The sequence below is a fragment of the Homo sapiens genome, chromosome 3 (assembly GCF_000001405.40).
Source record: "Homo sapiens chromosome 3, GRCh38.p14 Primary Assembly".
Lineage (NCBI taxonomy): Eukaryota > Metazoa > Chordata > Mammalia > Primates > Hominidae > Homo > Homo sapiens.
Window position 1 is genome coordinate 29045598 of NC_000003.12, and position 26095 is coordinate 29071692.

General features: G+C 36.7%; 1 long non-coding RNA gene across 3 annotated transcripts; it reads right to left on the reverse strand.

Annotated features, from left to right (window-relative positions):
• Positions 1-3070: 3070 nt before the first annotated feature.
• LOC105377009 (uncharacterized) lies at positions 3071-13363 on the reverse strand. 3 transcript variants are annotated; one of them, XR_001740425.2, is made up of 3 exons: positions 11765-13363; positions 11108-11232; positions 3071-3155 (listed from the first exon to the last, which is right to left on the reverse strand). It is a non-coding gene; the product is annotated as an uncharacterized LOC105377009 (long non-coding RNA). The 3 variants fall into 3 exon arrangements; XR_940675.3 differs by lacking the exon at positions 3071-3155 and adding an exon at positions 9367-10217; XR_940677.3 differs by lacking the exon at positions 3071-3155 and adding an exon at positions 10130-10217 and having other exon boundaries at positions 11791-13363.
• Between the last annotated feature and the right edge of the window lie 12732 nt (positions 13364-26095).

Genomic DNA, 26095 nt, shown 5'->3' on the forward strand with positions numbered 1-26095 from the left:
CAAATCAGCAATGCAAATTATTAGTCTGTTCCTTGAACGTGGAGGAGGAATCAAGAAGTAATGAATCAGAACTGCGTGTAATTGGAAGGGTGCAAGGCAATACGATGTTACTCTATAGCTGAATCCTATCAATATATTTGCTAGAACTCCAGCTCTGTTCCAGTCTGTATTGAAAACTCAGAGTTTTCATAATCCACTCATAATCCACTGCTCCTTCTACATCCCAGGTGGTTTTTTGGCCTAGCTCTCATCAAATCTAGGTGCCTGTGGCCTGTACTTGGACTGCTGTATTGCAGCAGCTATCACTTTAATTTGTGCTTTTCCAAACTCTGGGACACTTTCTCATGTGCTGGGAGCTTTTATGCCAGGTATTAGATTTTGAGCCAAGTGGATATTTCCATTTTCTTCTTATGAGCTAAGAACTTTTTTCTGCATCCTTTCTTATTCTATGGAATTGTCTGTCAGAGTGTTGAACTGTGGGACTATCTATGTGCAAGTATCTTTTCCATTTCATGATTTTGTTTTATTCTTTTTTTTCTTGACAGTCCTCCTGGATACAGGAGATTTGGTAGACCACTTGTCCCCCTGTTATGCAGATAGTCAGCACGTTGTCTTACAAATGGATCTTCCCCTCCATTTATAGTTAGACACTTTATTGTAAGGCAGAATGCTATAATTCAGCATTTTCTTTCCTTTGAAAACTTTTGCTATCTATGAGACAAAGAATTGTGAAGAGTCAAAGATTCAACACCATGTTCTAGAGCAGGCTATTTCAAAATAAGACCCATCTTGGAAGTCATAAATTCTATTGCTTATTTAACTGTGTGGTTTTGATTAACTGTGTGTTTTTCCAAAATGACTTTAGCAATATAAACTTTCTTTTCTAATTTTTTTTGAGGTGGAGCTTGCAGTGAGCCAAGATCGTGCCACTGCACTCCAGCCTGGGCAACACAGCGAGACTCTGTCTCAAAAAAAAAAAAAAAAAAAAAAAAAGAAAAGAAAAGAAAAATTGGTATTTTTCCACATATGCAAAAAGATTTATCCAGTGGTAGTTAAGAACACTCTGATAGGAAAAATAAATTTAAATTATTGGCTATTCTTCACTGCTGTAGCCCATCTTTCTCTACATCTAATCCTACCTCTTCAACCCTGAGATACCATTATTTGTGTTTGTATTTGCCTATGGACACTGTGTTTAAAATGTTTGCCCTCCTCTCTAAGCAATTTAGTCTATGAAATTGAGGACAAGCCCATGATGTGGTTTGTTTGTTTATTTGTTTTTGCTGTTGTCACTGGGATTTCCTTGTTCACATACATGCATAAAAAACTATTTTCTATGATGTTAATAAATTGAGAAAATGAGATTTTAATTTTTTCTTTTCTTCAATAGTTTCTCCTGTTAACTAACTGAATAAATGGAGAAAGTGACAAAGATCTTACATTTGTTGATTATCAGCTATGTACCAAGAGTTGTTCTAGGTATTTACTTGCAACTTTTCTTCATTCATTTAATCTTTTCAATAAAGCTACAAGCTACCTCTACAGATGAGAAAAATAGGTATTAGAGAGTTCAACTTACTAGCTCAAGATTGCAGAGCCAGTAAAAGACAGAGCAAAGTTGATATGAAAGGGCTGTCCATTTCCTAGTGGAAAGTGTGCTCTTGGCCAACATTTCCAGAATGGGTACAGATAGTACTCCTGCTTGACTACCCAGGTCCCTTCTTTTATAGGCATTACCCTACTACTCTTTTCCATTTTTACTGTCCACTCTCCTTCATCTGCCTAGCACGTTTATTGGTGACTTAAAAAATTAAATGTATTTTATGAAGAAAAACTTAAATATAGAAAAGCACACAGATAAGTGTATATCTTGATGTGTCGTCACATAGTGAACATACCCATATCAAGTCACAATCTAGATCAAGAACTAGAGCATTATTAACATCAGAAGCCCCTTCAGCTTCCCTCATCCCCCTCATGCCACCTTACTTTTGATAGACTTTTGTTCTTTTCCTAGTTTTTGCTTATTACAAATAATGCTACTATGAATATGCTTGAACAAGTCCCTTCATACACATACCTATATAGTTCTGTTGGCTATACTTCTAGGAGTAGAGTTGCTGGGTTATATGTGTACATATATTCAACTAAGATGCATATTGCCAAAAATATTTCAAATTGGTTTTATACCAGTAGTATATGTAAGTTCCATTTTGTAAACTGCTTTGACAGCATTTGGTATTGTTGGTTATTTAAATGTTTACAACATAGTTGATATGTTTAGGTATATCACTGTGGGTTTTTTTTTTAATTTTTTAATTTTTTATTTTTTCGAGACGGAGTCTCGCTCTGTCGCCCAGGCTGGAGTGCAGTGGCGCGATCTCGGCTCACTACAAGCTCCGCCTCCCGGGTTCATGCCATTCTCCTGCCTCAGCCTCCCGAGTAGCTGGGACTATAGGCGCCCGCCACCACGCCTGGCTAATTTTTTTATATTTTTAGTAGGAACGGGGTTTCACCATGTTAGCCAGGATCTCCTGACCTCGTGATCTGCCCACCTCGGCCTCCCAAAGTGCTGGGATTACAGGCGTGAGCCACCATGCCCGGACATCCCTGTGGTTTTGATTTGCTTTTCCCTGATGACTCATGAGGTTAAGCACCTTTTTAAGTGTTCATTAAATTGATAATATTTTGGTCTGACATCTCTAGCATGAGTTCTGAACTGTTCTGAAGAATTTAAGCTTTGCTGTTAGCCCTGTGACCCAAAGCACCTCAGATGTGTGAAGGAGCTACTGGCCCTCAGGCCTGTAGCTTGGTGCTGTGCAGTCCCCGACCCCAGTGGAGTCAGTGTTCTGAAGAATTTGGGCATTTTGCTTTCTGATCACCAGTCCATTTCCCGTTTTTCTATTTTGTGATACCTATTCCTTCTGCTCTGTTTACTCTCTGTTTTTTAAATAAAGATAGTGAATACACACTTTTTATTGAACTGAACATAAATCAAGCTTACCCTGCTTTGTAGTGAGGGCTGGCCCCAAGCAAAGGCCTCCAGTGTCCATTCTCCTTCTCTCTTACCCTTGCTTTGATTTGCAGCTCTTATGACGATGATGGGGTTTTTCTGGTTGTTGTTCATCCAGTATTGTTCTGCCTTTAGGCTGCCTCTTCATTTTGGATCCATCCACATCAAAATGAAAAAGAACTGCCATCAAGGGTCTGCTTATATAGTGAGTGGGCTTTGAGAGGGATCTACAGAAAACTTTTTTTTTGAAATGGCATCTATTTAGTAGAAACAGGGCTATGTTCCCACCTTCTTTGCATCTCCTCCCCATCTTAGCCAAAGAAAAAGCAAAAGGGAAGCTTACTTGCTCAAATATATCAATTCAGGAAAAGAAAATTAGTCTTGGTTTGTGTTTAGTAATTTAATGTCAAGCAAAATCATTTTCTGTATAATCTAAATTAAAGCCTTGCTATCATGGGAAACTGATTTAAAAAAAATCTCCACCCTTCTGCATAAAAATACTTCAGAATGATAAGCGTTTGGATGTGCAACCATTGATTTTATTCAGATGAATACAAAATATACTTAGAGTGTAGAATTAATGATGTCAAATTTAAAATAAGGTTTTGTTTTCAGCATTTACTAGAGTGGGCTTTATCTGTCCAATTCTTTGAGTCCCTGCTGCTAGCCACTCAGAAACCAGTTTTTCCCATATTACCCACTGAGCTGACTTTCATTAAAATGTTTTTTATTCCACTGTAAAAACTAAATTGACCAACCAACCAAGTAGACGTTCCTCAGAAATTTATGTTAACAGAATGTAAGAATTGTCTTTTAAAACACTAAAATTTTTAATTGGCTCTTTTTAAAATGATTGGTTAATCACCTTAAATAATAAATGCAACTGAAAAAATTATTTAGATTGAAATCCATTCATAGGACTGATATATGTTTATGGCTAAATAAAATATTAAGACAAATTAAGTTATTAGCAGATGCTATTTTAGTCCCAGATGGTGATCTTTGTTTGCACACTTATTAACCAATTCATTTTGCAAGGCTTTGTTTTCTCATCCTATACAAACCTAAATACAGGAACCCAGGAAAGGACCATTTCTAGAAAACCAGTATGCCAGTGTAATGACTTTGATGATGAAACACTGTATATCTTTGTACTTTCATTTCCTATACATATAAGCATGGGTTTCCCAATAACTTTCAAATCTGAGGTAAATCATTTCCAAGGTCCCATCTTCTGATGAAAGGTTGATCACTGTTGGCAAATACTAACAGCTGGCCACATAGACATAGCTCCAAGGGCCACATTTCAAAGAGGAAAAATACCCTTGTCTAAATTTCATAACACCTGATGTTTTGTTGACTATTTCAATTACAAATTTCAGTTTTGACCCAGAAAATTAATGGGATATGAGTTTTCTGAAATACTCAATTTTGATGTGATTCCTGGAATGTACTCACCATTTTCACTGTTAGTAACATTCTGTGTAGCAGTGATTAAAAGCTCTGCTTGAGAATCCCACTTCTTCCACTTTCTTTGTAAATTTGGGTTTCTCTTTCACAGAGAAAAGCGAAGGAAATTAACAAAGATAATAAATCCTGAAGGCATTCCAGTGGTCCTCAAAGCCTTTTGTGTATCTTCCTTCTTGGGGTTCAGTTATTGACCCCCTCTTTGGAATCTGTGAGCTAATAAATTCTCTTCTTTTCCTTTATATAGTACAAGTTGGGTTTCTGGTGCTTATGACTCAGTCCTGACATATACATTATGCTTACTGATGAAAGTTTATATTCATGTTCACCTCTGTCTCTGATTTCCGTTTTGTCTTTTTTTTTTTTTTTTTTTTTTTTTTTGCTTTGTGTTTTAGAGCTGTATGTCATTGGTCACATGAAAGATAAAAGAGCTGAATTTTGAAGTTTTAAAAAAATTCTAATATAGTATGATTTCTAAAAATCTTTAAACATAAGATCACCGTCATACAAGCCTCATTACTTACCATTCAAAAATAATAATAGAAAATATAAGAGTAATGCTAGATTTTATAAGGGTAACTCTAAGAAATTGGTCATGCGGGGGCAGGGAGTTATACTACTCACTATTTTGGGAGATATTTTAAAAGGATACATTTTCTCATAAACAAAGATTATGAAAATACTATTGCAAATGTGACTATTACTATCCATATCATCATGATTAAGGAGTATATCCTAGACCTGACAATAATCACTCAGATTTGGTAAAGATTAAGCATTTCCAGTTTGATTATTCACAGATTGTCATTAAAAAGCATCTCTTCATCATAAATTCTTTGCCTAAGCCAACATCTAGAAGAGCTTTTCTTAGGTTTTCTTCTAGAATTTTTATGGTTTCATAGGTAATTTGACTTAGACCATGGAGTTCATTCAAACTGTATATGTAAATAATTTCAATATTGGCTGATTAGCATAATAATGTAGAGCTTGATTTTGAAAGGTTTGTTAAATACCAAAGGTTTAAACATTGGCTATTACAAAATAGAGTCTTAGGTTACCATAAATCACTCATTTAGCCAAAATGATAACTTGAAAATTTTTAAAAGAAAAAAACATTATTCTGACAGAGAGGAGACTCAGCTTTCCAAACAAGACCCAATGAAAGTAGCATGAGGCCAACTGACTGTCTCCTTTCTTTTCTCTCATTAATCAAAACTTTATAGAGGAGATAAACCCTTTTTTTTTTTTTTAACTATTCATTCAACCATTTTCACACAGAGGTAGAAGCCAGAAATCTGACTTGTAAGAAATTCTTACCCTTTTGCCAGCATGCCAGGCTTCTGGGTTCCCTTTCCCTGAGCGACCCTAGTGATCTGGCTTGTGGCACAATTGACCTCGGGCAAGCCTCATCATAAAGGAAAATTCTTTTTTTTCGTTCTGGCCAGAGCAAAATACATGTGATAAAACAGACATTAGCCACTCTGCTTAGCACCCAATATCAAACTGGCGAGGCTTAAATTTGCCCTCCAATGGGGCACTGTCATCTTTTTTTTTTAATTATATTTTAAGTTCTGGGGTACATGTGCAGAACATGCAGGTTTGTTACGTAGGTATACACGTGCCATGGTGGTTTGCTGTACCCATCAACCCATCATCTACATTAGGTATTTCTCCTAATGCTAACCCTTCCCTAATCCCCCATCCCCCGACAGGCCCCAGTGTGTGATGCTCCCCTGCCCAGCCGTGTCCATGTGTTCTGATTGTTCAACTCCCACTTATGAGTGTGAACATGTGGTGTTTGGTTTTCTGTTCCTGTGTTAGTGTGTTGAAAATGATGATTTCCAGCTTCATCCATGTCCCTGCAAAGGACATGAACTCATCTTCTTTATGGCTGCATAGTATTCCATGGCGTATATGTGCCACATTTTCTTTATTCATTCTATCATTGATGGGCATGTGGGTTGGTTCAAAGTCTTCACTATTGTGAATAGTGCCATAATAAACATACGTGTGCATGTTTCTTTAGAGTAGGATGATTTATAATCCTTTGGGTGTATGCCCAGTAATGGGATTGCTGGGTCAAATGGTATTTCCAGTTCTAGATCCTTGAGGAATTGCTACACCGTCGTCCACAAAGGTTGAACTAATTTACACTCCCATCAACAGTGTAAAAGCATTCCTATTTCTCCACATCCTCTCTAGCATCTGTTGTTTCCTGACTTTTTAATGATTGCCATTCTAACTGGTGTGAGATGGTATCTCATTGTGGCTTTGATTTGCATTTCTCTAATGACCAGTGTGATGAGCTTTTTTTCATGTTTGTTGGCTGCATAAATGTCTTCTTTTGAGAAGTGTCTGTTCATATCTTTTGCCCACTTTTTGATGGGATTGTTGTTTTTTTCTTGTAAATTTGTTGAAGTTCTTTGTAGATTCTGGATATTAGCCCTTTGTCAGATGGATAGATTGCAAAAATTTTCTCCCATTCTGTAGGTTGCCTGTTCACTCTGATGGTAGTTTCTTTTGCTATGCAGAAGCTTTTTAGTTTAATTAGATCCCATTTGTCAATTTTGGCTTTCGTTGCCATTGCTTTTGGTGAAGTCTTTGCCCATGCCTATGTCCTGAATGGTATTGCCTAGGTTTTCTTGCAGGGTTTTTATGGTTTTAGGGCTTACGTTTAAGTCTTTAATCCATCTTGAGTTAATTTTTGTATAAGATCTAAGGAAGGGGTCCAGTTTCAATTTTCTGCATATGGCTAGCCAGTTTTCCCAACACCATCTATTAAATAGGGAACTCTTTCCCCATTTCTTATTCTTGTCAGGTTTGTCAAAGATCAGATGGTTGTAGATGTGTGGTGTTAGTTCTGAGGCCTCTGTCTGTTCCATTGGTCTATATATCTGTTTTGGTACCAGTACCATGCTGTTTTGGTTACTGTAGCCTTGTAGTATAGTTTGAAGTCAGGTAGCGTGATGCCTCCAGCTTTGTTCTTTTTACTTAGGATTGTCTTGGCTATGTGGGCTCTTTTTTGGTTCCATATTAAATTTAAAGTAGTATTTTCTAATTCTGTGAAGAAAGTCAATGGTAGCTTCATGGGGATAGCATTGAATCTATAAATAACTTTGGGCAGTATGGCCATTTTCACAATATTGATTCTTCCTATCCATGAGTATGGAATGTTTTTCCATAATTTGTGTCATCTCTTATTTGCTTGAGCAATGGTTTTTAGTTCCTCTTGAAGAGTTCCTTCACATCCCTTGTAAGTTGTATTCCTAGGTATTTTATTCTCATTGTAGTAATTGTGAATGGACGTTAACTCATGATTTGGCTCTCTGTTTGTCTGTTATTGGTGTATAGGAATGCTTATGATTTTTGAGCATTGATTTTGTATCCTGAGACTTTGCTGAAGTTGCTTATCAGCTTAAGGAGATTTTTGGGTGAGACGATGGGGTTTTCCAAATATACAATCATATCATCTGCAAACAGAGACAATGTGACTTCCTCTTTTCCTATTTGAATACCCTTTATTTCCTTCTCTTGCCTGATTGCCCTGGCCAGAACTTCCAATACTATGTTGAATAGGAGTGTTGAGAGAGGGCATCCTTGTCTTGTGCCGGTTTTCAAAGGGAATGTTTACAGCTTTTGCCCATTCAGTATGATGTTGGCTGTGTGTTTGTCATAAATAGCTCTTATTATTTTGAGATATGTTCCATCAATACCTAGTTTATTGAGAGTTTTTAGCATGAAGGGGTGTTGAATTTTTTTCAAAGGCCTTTTCTGCATCTATTGAGATAATCACGTGGTTTTTGTCCTTGGTTCTGTTTATGTGATGGATATGTTTATTGATTTGTGTATGTTGAACCACCCTTGCATCCCAGGGATGAAGCCAACTTGATTGTGGTGGATAAGCTTTTTGATGTGCTGCTGGATTTGGTTTGCCAGTATTTTACTGAGGATTTTTGCATCAATGTTCATCAGGGATATTGGCCTGAAATTTTCTTTTTTTGTGTGTGTCTCTGCCAGGTTTTGGTATCAGGATGATGCTGGCCTCATAAAATGAGTTAGGGAGGATTCTCTCTTTTTCTATTGATTGGAATAGTTTCAGAAGGAATGGTACCAGCTCCTCTTTGCACCTCTGGTAGAATTCGGCTGTGAATCCATCTCGTCCTGGACTTTTTTGGTTGGTAGGCCATTAATTACTGTCTCAGTTTCAGAACTTGTTATTGGTCTATTCAGGGATTCAACTTCTTTCTGGTTTAGACTTGGGAGGGTGTATGTGTCCATGAATTTATCCATTTCTTCTAGATTTTCTAGTTTATTTATGTAGAGGTGTTTATAGTATTCTCTGATGGTAGTTTGTATTTCTGTGGGATCGGTGGTGATATCCCCTTTATCATTTTTTATTGCATCTATTTGATTCTTCTCTCTTTTCTTCCTTATTAGTTTTGGTAGTGGTCTATTTTGTTGATCTTTAAAAACAAAACAGCTCCTGGATTCATTGATTTTTTTGAAGGGTTTTTTGTGTCTTTATCTCCTTCAGTTTGGCTCTGTTGTTAGCTATTTCTTGTCTTTTGTATTCTGCTGGCTTTTGAGTTTGTTTGCTCTTGCTTCTCTAGTTCTTTTCAATGTGATGTTAGAGTGTAAACTTTAGATATTTCCTGCTTTCTCTTGTGGGCATTTAGTGCTATAAATTTCCCTCTACACACTGCTTTAAATGTGTCCCAGAGGTTCTGGTATGTTGTGTCTTTTTTCTCATTGGTTTCAAAGAACATCTTTATTTCTACATTAATTTCGTTATTTACCCAGTAGTCATTCAGGAGCAGGTTTTCAGTTTCCATGTAGTTGTGTGATTTTGAGTGAGTTTCTTAATCCTGAGTTCTAATTTGATTGCACTGTGGTCTGAAAGACCTTTTTATGATTTCTATTCTTTTACATTTGCTGAGGAGTGTTTTACTTCCAATTATGTGATCAATTTTAGAATAAGTGTGATGTGGTGCTGAGAAGAATGTATAGTCTGTTGATTTGTGGTGGAGAGTTCTGTAGATGTCTGTTAGGTCTGCTTGGTCTAGAGCTGAGTTCAAGTCCTGAATATCCTTGTTAATTATCTGTCTCACCGATCTGTCTAATATTCATCGTGGGGTGTTAAAATCTCCCACTATGATTGTGTGAGAGTCTAAGTCTCTTTGTATGTCTATAAGGACTTGCTTTATGAATTTGGGTGCTCTTGTATTGTGTACACATATTTTTAGGATAGTTAGCTCTTCTTGTTGCATTGATCCTTTTACCATTATGTAATGCCCTTTTTTGTCTCTTTTGATCTTTGTTGTTTTAAAGTCTATTTTATCAGAGACTAGGATTGTAACCCTTGCTTTTTTTATTGCTTTCCACTTGCTTGGTAAATATTCCTCGATCCCTTTATTTTGAGCCTATGTGTGTGTTTGCACATGAGATGGGTCTCCTGAATACAGTACACTGATGGGTCTTGACTCTATCCAATTTGCCAGTCTGTGTCTTTTAATTGGGCCCTTTAGCCCATTTACATTTAAGGCTAATATTGTTATGTGTGAATTTGATCCTGTTATTATGATGCTAGCTGGTTATTTTGCTCATTAGTTGATGAAGTTTCTTCATAGTGTTGATAGCCTTTACAATTTGGTATGTTTTTGCACTGGGGGCCCCATCATCTTTAATCCAACCTCAGTCTAGGAGTTTCAATACGTGGTCTCTGGACAAGATGGTTGCCCTGCGTAACAGAAAAGATAAGAAAGGGAAAGGAGAGAGAGAAACACATTATCTGTGGCAGGATGGGGAAGCTGAAATGATCAGGGAGGCCAGAGAAAGGTCCACCCATGGCAGCAACACTGGTAATTTCAGGTTGCTGCTTCTCGGTAGCAAAGCGATTTTTTCCAGCAGTCTCATCAGCTCTCATTTCCCCTTTCAGGGAGGAAAAAGCCCTCCATAACCCACAATCCTGTATATGCCTAATCCTGTCACCCACAGCTGTCAGCAGAGAGTGCAAGGCAGATTATTCCAAAGAGAATAGCATTTAACATCCTGTAGTGCCAAACCTGTTCTTAGTTGAAAGGGACTTTACCAAGAGCGCTCATTTTTAAATGTATTTCAGTGCACTGTTGTTCCTTTGGAATATTCCACTGTAAGTTATCTTTAGTAAGATTTTGCCATTTCTGTAAGACTTCATTGCCTCCCAGGTCTAAAGTATAAGCCAAAAAGAAATCAGTTTTCCAGAAATTAAGGATCTCATTTTTACCTAAATATTGGCTTTACTCTCAGGTTCTCTTGATTAACTTAGCCAGTAATTTTTTTCCTATCTAAGCACACAAGAAAAATGAAACAAAGGGGTAGAACACAAAAATCCCTGTGAATTTTCAAAAGCCAAATTTTATAACCCCTGCAATATTACTGCTTACTACCAGTTCCTTTCTGACCCAGTCAGATGTAAGAGGTCTCTACCTGGATCAAAGCCAATTAATTCCCAGATCAAATCTCTGTTCCTGTACCCAGTCCAGTTTGTGTGATAACTCCAAACCCAATTTGGATCAGAAATTTGCTCAAAGAAACTTGTAGAGTTCAAAACACAAATCTATGGAGCTCCAAAATCTGAGAGGGGCTTACCCACAATCCTCAGCTGCTTTGAGAGATCCATGGACACAAGTGGGTCCTGAAGGTAGCTTGCATGTTCACTTGGCACTCCTGGGGGTCCCTAGAAGCTCTGCTTGGGATCCCACTTCTGACACCATCTGATAAAAGAAAAACTTCAGCTGAATTAAATTTAAAGAAGTTTAATTGAGCAATTAATGATTCGTGAGTTAGGCAGCCTCCAGAATCAAGCAGATTCACAGTGACTCCAGAGGTGCCTTGAGGTCAGAACAAATTTATAGACAAAAAAGATAAAGTGACATACAGGAATCAGAAGTGAGGTACAGAAACAGCGAGATTGGTTACAGCTTGGTGTTTGCCTTTTTTGAATGCAGTTTGAACACTCAGCAGTCTATGAGTGGTTGAAGTATGGCCACTTGGATTGGCCAACACTCAGCTATTGTTATGGGTGCATATAAGTAAGTTAGGTTTTCAATTTTGTCTGACTATTAAGCTAGGTTACAGTTTATCCACAAGGACTCAAATATAGAAATATGGAGTCCTTCTCAGGCCATATTTAGTTTGCTTTAACAGGCTGCAGGACTAACTTGTAGCTCCCACTTACGTGGACAGAGCAGCATGTAGAGATTTACATCATGAACATTTTCTCCATGAACTACCACAGGAACATACCAGGAAAGCCAAGAGAAGCCACAGACCCTTTGAAGGAGGTGGATTGCCACTGCAGGCTCCATTGGACAGCCAAGGAACTGTGAGTCAGCTTGCTTTCTCAACTAGGAGGCTTGTAGCCTGGGGTAAATTCACAGCCCTGCTCACTGGCTGCCTGGGAATAAACTCAGTGCTGTTGGGAGAGTAAGACTGGCCTTTCAAAAGGCTGTAGGCTGCTTGGGAGCTAGATGAGGCCTGTGGCTGCTGGCTTTCCCCCCACCTTCCCTGGATACCTTTGTGATGCAGTGGAGGCAGCCATAATCCCCTGGGAACATAACTCCATTGGCCTGGGAACCACACCCCCAACCCCCAGAGCAGCCACAACAAACCCCACCCAGGGAGAGTCTGAGCTCAGATACACCTAACCCTGCCCCCACCTGATGGTCTTTGTCTACTTGCCTGGGTAGCTGAAGACAAAGGAAATAGTCTCTTAGGAGCTCTGTGGCCCTGACCACCACCTGAGAAACTTGAATACTTATCCAAATGTGACCCTAGGGCAAGTTTGTATCCTCCCTGTACAACTACAGCTAATAAGCTCTTGAAAGCTCCACCTCCTGATTAGAAGCCAACCAGCACAAAACCTGTGTACATAACAGAAATACAACCAAGGACTCTGACAGAGTTTACTTCACTCCTTTGATACCTCCACCAGAGTAGGTGCTGGTGTCGATGGCTGAGAGACCTGAAGATGGATCACATCACAGGACTCTTTGCAGACACTCTCCAGTCCTAGCTCAGAGCCTGGTAGCTCCTCTGGGTGGCTAGATCCAGAAGAGAAATAGTAATCACTGCAGTTCAGCTCAGGAAGCCCCATCCCTAGGGGAGAGGGGAGAGTACCACATCAAGAAAGCACCCCCGTGGGACAAAAGAATCTGATATAGTCTACCCCAATGGGAAGGAACCAGAAAAACAATTCTGGTTAAATGACAAAATAAGCTTTTTTAACAACCCCAAAAGATCACACTAGCTCACCAGCAATGGATTCAAACTAAGAAGAAATCTCTGAATTGCCAGAAAAAGAATTCAGACGTCGATTATTAAGCCAATCAAGGAAGCAATAAACCCAGCAGCAGAAGAGAAATAACCAAGATCAGAGGAGAACCAAATGAAATTGAAACAAAACAAAACAAAAAAATACAAAAGATAAATGAAACAAAAAGCTGGTTTTTTGAATAGATAAATAAAATTTATAGACCATTAGCAAGATTAATTATGAAAAGAAGAGAGAAGATCCAAATAAGCTCAATTAGAAATGAAACAGGAAATATTACAACCAATACCACAGAAATACAAAAGATCATTCAAGGCTACTATGAACACCTTTGCGTGCATAAACTAGAAAACTCAGAGGAGGTGGGTAAATTTCTAGAAATATACAACTCTCCTAGATTAAACCAGGAACAAATAGAAATTCTGAACAGACCAATAACAAGCACCAAGATTGAAATGGTAATTTAAAAGTTACCAACAAAAACAAAAAAAAAAATCCAGGACCAGAAGGATTCACAACTGAATTTGACCAGACATCCAAAGAAAAATTGGTAGCAATCATATTGACACTATTCCAAAAGAGCGAAAGAGGGAATCCTCCCTAAACCATCCTATGAATACCAAAACCATGAAAGGACATAACAAAAAAAGAAAACTACTAGACCAATATCCCTGATAAACATACATGCTAAAATTCTGAACAAAATACTTGCTAACCAAATCCAACAACATATCAGAAAGATAATCCATTATGATCAAATAGGTTTCATACCAGGGATGCAGGGATGGTTTAACATATGCAAGTGAATAAATGTGATACACCACATAAACAGAATTGAAAACAAAAACCACATGACTATCTCAATAGACACAGAAAAAGCATTTGACAAAATCCAGCATTCCTTTATGATTAAAACCATCAGCAAAATAGGCATAGAAGAGACATACCTTAAACTAATAAAAGGCATCTATGACAAACCCGCAGCCCACATTGTACTGAATGGGGAAAAGTTGGAAGCCTTCCCTCTGAGAACTGGAACAAGACAAGGATGCCCACTTTCACCATTTATTTTTACTGTAGCACTGGAAATTCTAACTAGAGCAATCAAACAAGAAAAAGAAATAAAGGGCACCCAGTCAAACTGTCACTGTTTGCTGATGACATGATTGTATACCTGGAAATATCCTAAAGATTCATCCAAAAAGCTCCCAGAACTGGTAAATGAATTTAGCAAAGTTTCAGGATACAAAATTAACGTACACAAATCAGTAGCTCTGCTATACACCAACAGCGATCAAGCTGAGAATCAAATCAAGAACTCAACCCCTTTAACGATAGCTGCAAACAAAAACAAAAACAAAAAACAACAACAGCAAAAACAAACAAAAAAACTTAGGAATATAGCTAACCAAGGAGGTAAAAGACTTCTACGAGGAAAATTACAAAACACTGTTGAAGGAAATCATAGATGACACAAACAAATGGAAATACATCTCATGCTCATGGATTGGTAGAATCAATATTGTGAAAATGACCATGCTGCCAAAAGCAATCTACAAGTCAATACAATTTCCATCAAAATACCACCATCATTCTTCACAGAACTAGAAAAAGCAATCCTAAAATTCGTGTAGAACCAAAAAAGAGCCTGCACAGCCAAAGCAAGACTAAGCAAAGAAAACAAATCTGGAAGCATTACATTACCCGACTTCAAACTATACGATAAGGCCATAAACACCAAAACAGAATGGTATCGGTATAAAAATAGGCATATTGACCAATGGAACGGAATAGAGAACCCCGAACTAAGTACTTACAGTCAACTGATCTTCAACAAAGCAAACAAAAGCATAAAGTGGGGAAAAGGCGTCCTCTTCAACAAATAGTGCTGGGATAATTGGCAAGCCACAAGTAGAATAATGAAACTGGATCTTCATCTCTCACCCTACACAGAAATTAACTGAAGATGGATCAAAGGCTTAAATCTAAGACCTGAAACAATAAAAATTCTAGAATATAACATTGGAAAAACCCTTCTAGACTTTGACTTAGGCAAAGACTTCATGACGAAGAACCCAAAAGCAAATGCAACAAAAGCAAAGATAAATAGATGTGACTTAAACTAAAAAGCTTCTGCACAGCAAAAGAAATAAAGCTGATTTGATTCTCAGCTTGATCGCTGTTGGTGTATAGCAGAGCTACTGATTTGTGTATGTTAATTTTGTATCCTGAAACTTTGCTAAATTCATTTACCAGTTCTGGGAGCTTTTTGGATGAATCTTTAGGATATTTCCAGGTATACAATCATGTCATCAGCAAACAGTGACAGTTTGACTGGGTGCCCTTTATTTCTTTCTCTTGTCTGATTGCTCTAGTTAGAATTTCCAGTACTACAGTGAAAATAAATGGTGAAAGTGGGCAGAGTAAACAGACAACCCACAGAGTGGGAGAAAAACTTCACAATCTGTACATCTGACAAAGGACTAATATACAGAATCTATAAGGAATTCAAACAAATCAGCAAGAAAAAACAAAGAATCCCATCAAAAAGTGGGCTAGGGACATGTATAGACAATTCTCAAAAGTAGATACACAAATGGCCAAAAAACATATGAAAAAATGCTCAACATCACTACTTATCAGTGAAATACAAATCAAAACCACAATGCGATACCACCACATTCCTGCAAGAATGGCCATAGTAAAAAAATCAGAAAAGAATAGATGTTGGTGTGGTCGTGATGAAAAGGGAACACTTTTAGGTAAACTAGTATAACCACTATGGAAAACAGTGTAGTGATTCCTTAAAGAACTAAAAGTAGATCTACCATTTGATCCAGTAGTCTCACTGCTGGGTATCTACCCAGAGAAAAAGAAGTCATAATTTGAAAAAGATACTTATACATGTTTACAGCAGCACAATTTGTAATTGTAAAAACATGGAACCAGCTCAAATGGCCATCAATCAATGAATAGATAAAGAAAATGTGATATATATATATATATATATATATATATATATATATATATAATAGAATACTACTCAGCCATGAAAAAGAATGAAATAATGACATTCACAGCAACCTGGATGGAATTGGAGACCATTATTCTAAGTAAAGTAACTCAGGAGTGGAAAACCAAACGTTGTATGTTCTGACTCATAAGTGGGAGCTAAGCTATGAGGCCACAAAGACATAAGAATGATACAGAGGACCTTGGGAATTTGGGAGGGTGGGAGTGGGGAGAGGGATGAAAGACTATACATTGGGTACAGTGTATACTGCTCAAGTGATGGGTGCACCAAAATCTCAGAAATCACCACTAAAGAACTTTTTTATGTAACCAAAGCACCTGTTCCCAAAAAACCTACTGAAATAAAAAAATACAAAAATAAAAAAGTTGGCAAATGACAGACATTTCTCAAAAGAAAATGTACAAATGGCCAACAAAATTATGAAAAAATGCTCAATATCACTAATCATCAGGGAAATGCAAATGAAAACCACAATGAGATACTACCTTACCCTAGCCACAATGGCCATTATTAAAAAGTCAAAAAACAATAGATGTTAGCACAGATATGGTGAAAAGGGAGTGCTAACACTGCTGGTGGGAATGTAACTTAGTACAATCTCTATGGAGAACAGTATGGAGACTTCTCAGAGAACTAAAGGTAAATCTCCCATTTGATCCAGCAACCTACTACTGGCTATCTCTTTAGGCAAGAAAAAAATCATTATATTAAAAAAAGACACCTGCATGCATGCTTCTCGCAACACAATTCACAATTGCAAAGATATAGAATCAACCTAAGTGCCCATCAACCAAAGAGTGGGTAAGGAAAATGTGGTATATATTTATGTCATGGAATACTACTCAGTTATAAAAAGAATGAAATAATGTCTTTTGCAGCAACATGGAACCGGAGGTCATTATTTTAAGTAAAGTAACTCAGGAATGAAAAACCAAATACCATATGTTCTCACTTGTAAGTGAGAATGCTATGGGCATGCAAAGGTAGACAGAGAGGTATAATGAACATTGGAAATTTAGAAAGAGGGGGTGAGGGATGAAAAACTACCTGTTGGAATACAATATATACTACTTGGGTGATGGGTACACTAAAATCCCAGATTTCACTACTATACAATTCATCCACATAGCAAAAAAAAACTTGTACTTCTAAAGTTATTGAAAAAAAGTCATTTTAAAAAGCCTTCCTCAGGATATTTCTCTCAGAATTTTTTCTCTTTCTGAAAACAGTTTGCATACCATAAAAGTTATTTGAAAATGATTAGAAACATGTGGCATAAAATAGAGGAATTAATAAATGAGGATTTCCAATCAAGTGGCATAAGTCACTAGATAGTAACAGTCCTGCATTATAAATTTGTGGGTCACAGGTACTTTTGCCTTCATGGGGCTCTTCGTCCATAAAAACTTAAAAATTATATTTTAAGGGTCTGTTGTTATGAAGACAAATGTACTGATAATATGCAATAAAACACTTATTGTGACCTAAAAGTTCATTTTTTTCTTCTAATTAAAAAGATAAAAGTTTTTTTGTAGGTTCCTGGCAGTATTGTAGCCCCTCAACACTGCGCCTACTGTGCCTGGCAGTTATGTTGGCTCAGGACAGCAAGCCAACCAATTCATTCTCAGCTATTAGCCATGTTTAGATTACATGACCACACAATTAGACCCCATTTTAGGTAATGGAGGGCAAAGCTCTAGAGGAATGAAATGTAAGACAGGTAAGTTTTATTAGAAAAGACAAAATGGTAGAATGTGGCCTGATGAAAGAAAACTTCAATCTGGTTTCAAGGGGTGAGGATAGAGGTGGCAGGAGAAATGGATATCCCAAGAATCTGGAGAAATGTTTAAAGATGGAGTAGGTAGGAGGATGAGTAAAACAAACACAAACCAGCATCCTAATCCTAATGATGGCCAAGGTTTTCAATGGAAACATACATTTTGAAATGACTCCAGTTTTAACATCTCTTTTAGAAAAAAATGCTTCTATTTATATAAACCAAATAATTTGTGATAAAATGCCTATCCATTTTTTTTTTTTTTTTGCCTTATGTCAGGGAAGGAAAGCATACCTTTTAAGTTAACTAACTTCATAATCCTTTTAACTTGTAAATCTTTTAATTGAAGGAATGTCAAAGTCTAATGTGTCAGTGGAGACTTTCAGGCACAATGTTCATTTCAATTGTGAAAAGTTAAAAGCCATAGCCCTTATTGAACATCTTCACATCCATTCCTGCTGAAAATAATGCCCAAAGGTTAGAGATGGGTATGAGAGGAGGGAGAGTGGTAATGGCAGTGGTGGTGGTGTTTTAACTGAACTTCTAAGACATGTTTTCCAAGATGTCTTTGAGGACTGCTTTGTGAAAATTAAGCTGCTAATCATGTACATGTAAATTTATGAAAGAAAACAATTAGAATTGTCATGTCATAGAGTGAAAACTTCGTTTTTACTCTGTGCTCTATAAAAGCCCAACACCTCTTTATTGCAATGTATGCCTTTCACCTTAAAAGAAAAATAAAACTGATTTTAATCGATTTTTCTCTCAGTATAGTGGATTGTCATTAACACTGTGGTAACATTTCATGTTATTGCAATCATTTTCCATGGTCATATATGTGGGGAAAATACTTAGTATCTGCTTCTGTGGGTTATAGAAACAGACGGTTTGGATAAATTACATCTGTCTAGGCAGACTCCTACTTTTTTGTTGTGTTATGTCATTCATCAGGGAAGTAATAAAATAGAGATCAGTGGTTCTGATGTAGTAACTAATACGTCAACCACAAGCTGATTTGAATAGCATTTTCATGGTGCATACCAACACTAATAACTGTGTGGTTTCCTCATAACCTCAGCAGGTTGTATTTATATACTGACAAAAGGACCATGTAAAATCCATGCACAGCTGGTCATCAGAAGGACTATAAAACACTAGGGTTTGTCATACATGTGGTAATTATAAAGTGAGGCTGTGCAGTGTTCCCTAAACCTTGAAAACAAAGCTTCAACTTAATCCTTAAGTGAACTGTTTTGGGTTGGCTTATCACACAGAAGCCCACTCAACAATACCTCCAAGGCAGTTTGTCCTTTGAAGAGAGAGGGGAAAAAAACATAAAATTCACAATAGTCAGTGTTGTGTTATTCAGTTGGTTACATATGGAAACACAAATCTTTGGATTGTCAACACTACTTTCATAACAGAAAGAAACATTTCATTTTGAAAACGTTTCCTTCCATTTTCTTTTACTGTTTGATGCTTGTTTGTACAGTTCATAATCTAATAATCTGAATTACAGCAATACTTTCTTGCATATTGTCCATGCTGAAATAAAAGTACATTGAAAGCTTTAGTTTTATGAAGTGCATACTGCATATGGAGATTTGTTTTCTAAGTAAACACTAAGCAATTTATGCACTAGTAGCATTCAAATCTCTGATGCTGTTTTGGGATAATTCTCAAGGATTTATGACTTTCATGAATTTCTCTCTAACCAACCTAGATGTACTTCAGAATTTTATCATTGTTTTTGACCAAATACCTTGAGTTTGAAGGCTGCTGTGGAAAGTACTCCATATACAAAGATTGGATAAAATCTGAGGCTTTTCAGAATGCTAAAGAAGATTTCAATTCTGCTGCCCTCCCAAAATTAAAAAACAAATCTTCAAAGCTCTGTGTTATTTTTACATTTTGTTTATGAAAATAAAATAAAATGTTGGACCACTTTTGATAATATTTAAGTTGACCAAATCACATTTGTTTTCACCAAATGAAGAAATTCTTCATTTACTGTATCACTTTAGTTTTCCTTCTCATGACTCCTTTGCCAAGAAAACAGATTTTGCAATCAGATGCCTACTAGCTGGGTGTTCATGAGCTGTGATGGATTACTTTTAATAGGTGCTATTTTCCTACTTCATTAACTGCTCTTTTTCTGATGGTGTTTTTTGGGTCAAGTTAGAAAAGAAACAAAGGTTTAACCATTTACCCAAATAGGCAATGACGCTAAGTGTATTTTTTTAAAGTTGATTATGTACACACAAGGATGTGTTTATTTTGGGAGTATGTGTGAGTAAGAGCTTGAGTGTGTGTGAATGTGTTGTTTTTTTCAACTTAAAACTCTTTGCCTGGCCAACTGCCATCTCCATGCCAGTCTCCATGGCAACTTCCTTAAGGATAAAGTAACAGAAATGTGAGGAGGCTGCCTGCCCACAAACAAAGCTGCCACAGCCCTGCCAGAGGCCTGACTAGACAGAATCCCGGAACACTCCACATTCCATGAGAGTTCTGCAGGTTACTGCAGCTAGCTCCATTTAAAGGTGCAGTGCCTCTAGTCCTGGGAGGAAAGTTTAAAAATGTCTTCTGACTAGTCTTTCCATATATTAGAATGTAGATATGCAACCCACATGTCTTGACATTATTTTTCCCTTCCCATCTACATTGAATAAACATTTTATATCTAGCATTTATTTTTTAGTGATATTTGGAAATTTGCTTGACAGAGACCTTTGCCTAATATTGTGTGTTGTATGTACATCACATCAGGATGTGATGTATGTACCTTTAAAATACTTGTATAAAATATAAAATATTGAAAAAGTGAGACTAAATATCTTGATCCATTCTGCTTTCTTAAAAAAAGTGTCTGCTTTCTAATCTTAATGGATTTATGCATGTTTTTCCAAGAAATCAATAAAATTATTAAAATTCATAGTATATTAACATATATAATATATATTATATATAACAGTAATTTTCAAATGGTAGCAATCTTCCATAGGACACTTGGCAATATCTCAGTGGATATTGGTTGTCACAACTGGGGCCATGATACTGGTATCCAGTGGTTAGAGTCCTGGGGGAGCTTTTAAATATCCTACAATCAATAGAATAGCTCCCATAGCAAAGGATTACTGGCCTGAAATGTCAATAATACGAAGGTTGGGAAACCCTAGTATACATACATAGATGTTATATATGTATGTATGTATGTGTGTATGTACATACCAATTTAAAAATAAAGATTATAAGGTGTAGAGAGCTTAAATAGGAATAAACTATGCTAAGGCAACTTTCTAAGTTGTTTTTGCTCTGTCTCCTCAAACTGGGTACCAGAACTCTGATGACAACTGTCAATCTAGAGTCCACTGTCCAGGATTATCTATACAATGTATTTAGTATCTCTATAGCAATTGTTTTTTAAGACCACAAAAGAATACCTAAGAAGACCAGGCCTAGGCTAGGGAGTAAGAACTATGTGTAGTTTACTCTGTCTCTAAGAGTGTTTTCTATGCAATGAACTATACATCATATACAAGCTGTTTTTTACCTTAACTATTAATTCTTTCCCATTAGGAATTAGTAAAATGCTTCATAATTATGGCTAAGGGAAATATTTATGATCTTCAGCATACAGATTGCTCATTTCATCTCCAAAGTTTTGCTAATACTATTCAGGCTGTTTATGTTGTTGTTACCCCATAATATTCAACACAGTGTTTATATCAGTTATGTTAACCAGTTATGGAAAATCCTGAGTTTCTGGTTACCCAAATGAAAAGTTTACTTTAAACACAAGCCAAGGAAGTTTGGTTATGTTCAGCAGTGCTACTCAAAGTATGATTTCCTAAACTGGTGAATGACTACAACCATTTGATTACTGGTCTGTAACAAAATAGGTATAGAAATTAAAAATAAGCTTTTAGAAATTTTAATAACAATTTTGTAATGTCACAGCATCTAAGCATGTCTCATCAAACAGCTTGAGGTGTTGTCAAATTCATGTGGTGAGTCATAGAGTCACTAGCTATGAACTAGTCATCATGATCTCTAGCTACGAACTGGTGTGATCATATAAACTCACATAGTGAGATAGTATGTTGGGTCTGTGATAGATTGGAAATTAATTTTAACAATAACCAAAAGTCGGCCAGGTGCAGTGGCTCACGCCTATAATCCCAGCTACTCCGGAGGCTGAGGAATGAGAATTGCTTGAACCTGGGAGGTAGAGGTTGCAGTGAGCCGAGATCACGCCACTGCACTCCAGCCTGGGCAACAGAGCGAGACCCCATCTCAAAAACAACAACAACAAAAAACCCTGAAACTCCCTGATATGAGAAACACAATCATATTTACTATATTTTTATTACCTGGAAATGTCTTCTCATTCTATTTATGTCCAGATAAAAGTCAGTTCTGCTTTTTGGACATATATGGTTTAGCCTTCCCTGTGATTTGTTGCAATGTTGAGGTTAGTTACTTCTTATAGGTAGAGTAATGTATGGATTTGGTACAACCTACAAAAGGTCTTCTCTTGGAGAGAAATGAACATCATGAGTATCAGGATATGATAGATCATGCTGCTGTAGTCAACAACCCTAAGTATCAGAGGCTTAAATCAACAATTTATTTCTGGCTAACACTACCTATCTATCATGGGCAAGCAGGGACTCTCCTATTGTTTCCAGGTTAGTCAGTCCAGAACTCAGGCTGATGGAGCATCTACCATGTTTAACTTTGCTGATTACTGCCAGGAGGAAAAAAGATTTTGGCCATTCTTTCACCAAGTAACTAATTCACATGTCACTTCTCTCCCCTCAGTAGCCAGATCTACCACTTGACCCTATCCCACCATGCAAGAAAAGAGTGCAAATCTAACATGTGCCCAGAGTGTAGGGATTCATAGAGATTTGGTGAACTCCATTAATGACTATGGCACTAGAAAGCTTCTGGGTATTACTATTAAGTGCATATTTTTGCCTTTAATCCTTGGGTTTTACTCTTTAGTATATCACTTTCACATTTGCACAGGCATAGGAGGCAGCATGGGGAAGCTGACAGACTACTTCCTTTGACTTTAGATTGAATCCCAACCCTACATCTTAGCTGTGGTATAACCATACATAAATTCTTTAATCACTTTGAAATGAGACAATAATGCTCACATCATGTGTTGTAATGAAGATTAAGTTGGATAACCTTCATTAAATGAAGACTAAGTTGGATAACCTTCATTAAACGAGTAACTTTCATATTATTAAGTGCAGGCAGATGGAAGTATTTATTGTTAGGCAATAATAATTTTAGCTCAGCTTACAAAAAGTATTTTTGGGTCTGGAAAAATATAACTAATATTGGTATTGATTTAGGTAGAACTCAGCTATTGAACCATGGTAGATTCTGAAGCATCTTTTGAATCTTGTCTGTTGGTGTTGATCTAGCCAACAGATTTTGAATTATTCTTGGTGAAATCATGGTGGTTGGAAGATATGAGTTATCAAATTTCTCCTTTGGGTAAAAATGTTTCTAATCTTTCAGAAATTTCTCTATTAAGGCATTTTGTGTTGCCACTTAGGTACTTATTGTTCTGCAATACAGCGTAATATTGTTTCTAGAAATCAAAAATGTAATGTGGCTCTTATTTGAAATTTCTGTTCAATTTCAGTTGATTTTCTGGCGAATTGCATATTTTTTCTGTTTAAGAGTTTATTATATAGGTTAATTCTTTTTAAAAGAGAGATTACTTAATATACTCAAACTAAACCTAATAATAATAATATATCAGAAGATTATTTGCGGAAATACCAGATGCTGTTGATGATCAGGCAATTTTGTCTTTCTGGCAACAGAAAAGGCACCCAGCAGTAGTAAAACATGTATCAGTGACTGATTCCCAGCCAGTATAGGAGTAACACTCCAGTTTTTAAAATTTTTTCTGTTCCCGTGTTTGCTTAGGGTAATGGCCTCCAGTTACATCCAGGTTGCTGCAAAGCACATGATCTCATTATTTGTAGTGGCTGCATAGTATTCCATGGTGTGTATGTGCTACATTTTCTTGGTCCAGTCTACTGTTGATGGACATTTGGGGCGATTCTATTGATTCTATGTCTTTGCTATTGGGAACAGTGCTACAGTGAACATAAGCATCCATATATCTTTACCATAGAATGATTTAGATTCCTTTGGGTATATACTCAATAACGGGATTGCTGGGTTGAATGGTAATTCTAAGTTTTTTGAGAAATTGCCAAACTGCTTTCCAGAAAGACTGAACTAATTTACATTCCCACCAGCAGTGTATAAGCACTACCTTTTCTCCAAGACCTCGTCAGCATCTGTTATTTTTTGACTTTTTAATAATGGCCATTCTGACTGGTATGAGATAATATATCATTGTGGTTTTGATTTGCATTTCTCTAATGATTAGCAATGTGGAACTTTTTTTTTTGTATACTTGTTTGCCTTGTCTATGACTTTTGAAAAGTGTCTGTTCATATCCTTTGCCCACTTTTTAATGGAGTTGTTTTTTGCTTATAAGTTTGTTTAAGTTCCTTATAGATTCTGGATATTAGACCTTGGTTAGATGCATAGTTTGCAAATATTTTCTTCCATTCTACAGGTTGTCTCTTTACTCCGTTGATAGCTTATTTTGCTGTGCAGAAGCTCTTTAGCTTATTCTATTTATCAATTTTATATTTTTGTTTCAAATGCTTTTGACATCTTTGTTATGAAATCGTTGCCAGTGCCTATGTCCAGAATAGTATTGCCTTGGTTATCTTCCAGAGTTTTTATAGTTTCAGGTTTTACACTGACATTTTTAATGCATCTCGAGTTGATTTTTGTATATGGTGTAAAGAATGGGTCCAGTTTCATTCTTCTACATATGGCTAGCCATTTATCCCAGCACCATTTGTTGAATAGGGAATCCTTTCTCCATTGCTTTAGTCAATTTTGTTGAAGATCAGATGGTTGTAGGTGTGTGGCATTATTTCTGCACTCTTTATTCAATTCCAATGGGCTATGTGTCTGTTTTTGTACCAGTACCGTGCCGTTTTTGTTACTATAACCCTGTAATATAGTTTGCAGTTAGGTAACATGATGCCTCCAGCTTTGTTTTTTTAGCTTAAGATTGCCTTGGCTATTTGCACTCTTTTTTTGGTTCAAAATAAATTTTAAAATATTTTTTTCTTGTTATGTGAAGAATGTTATTGGTACTTTGATAGGAAGAGCACTGAATATGTAATGCCTTTTCATTTGTTGTTGTCCTCTCTGATTTCTTTGAGCAGTGTTTTGTAATTCATTGCAGAGATCTTTCACCTCCCTGGTTAGCTGTTGTCCTAGATATTTTATTTTTTCTGGCAATTATAATTGGAATTGCATTCTTGATTTGGCTCTCAGCTTGGACGTTATTGATATATTGGAATGCTACTGTTTTTTGTATTTTGATTTTTTATCATGAAACTCTGAAGTTGTGTATCAGATTAAGCAGCTTGGAGCAAAGACTGGGGTTTTCTAGGTATTGAATCATCTGTAAACAGGAATAGTTTGACTTTCTTTCTTCCATTTGATGCCTTTTATTTTTTTCTCTTGCCTGATTGCTCTGGGATTTCAGTACTATATCGACAAGGAGTGTTGAGAGATGACATCCTTTTTTATCCCATTTTTCAAGGGGAATTCTTCCGTTTTTTGCCTATTCAGTATGATGTTGACTGTGGGTTTTTCATAGATGGCTCTTTTATTATATTTTGACATGTGTTCCTTCAATGCCTAGTTTGTTGAGGGTATTTAACATGAAGTAATGTTGAATTTTATTGGAAGTCTTTTCTGCATCTATTGAGATAATCATGTGGTTTTTGGTTTTAGTTCTATTTATATGTTGAATCACATTTATTGATTTGCATATGTTAAAGCAACCTTGCCTCCCAGGAATAAAGCCTACTTGAATATAGTGGACTAGCTTTTTGATGTGCAGCTGGATTCAGTTTGTTGGTATTTTGTTGAGGATTTTTGCAACTATATTAGTCAAAGGTATAGGCCTGAGGTTTTTTGTTTTTGTTGTGTCTCTGCCAGGTTTTGGTATCAGGATTATGCTGGACTCGTAGGATGAGTTAGTGAGGAGTACTTCCTCCTCAATTTTTGGATTAGTTTCAGTAGGAATGGTACCAGCTCTTTTTTATACAACTGGTAGAATTCGGCTGTGAATCTGGCTGGTCCTGGGCTTTTTCTGCTTAGTCAGCTTTTTATTACTGATTCAGTTGCAGATCTCATTACTGGTCTGTTCAGGAATTCAATTTCTTTCTGGTTTAATCTTAGGAGGTTGTATGTTTCCACTTTTTTCTAGGTTTTCTCACTTCTGTGCATAGAGGTGTTCATAGTAGTCTCTGAAGTTTTTTATATTTGTGTTGAGTCAGTGGTAACGTCCCCTTTGTCATTTCTGATTGTGTTTATATCTTCTCTCTTTTTGTCTTTATTAGTCTAGCTAGCAGTCTATCT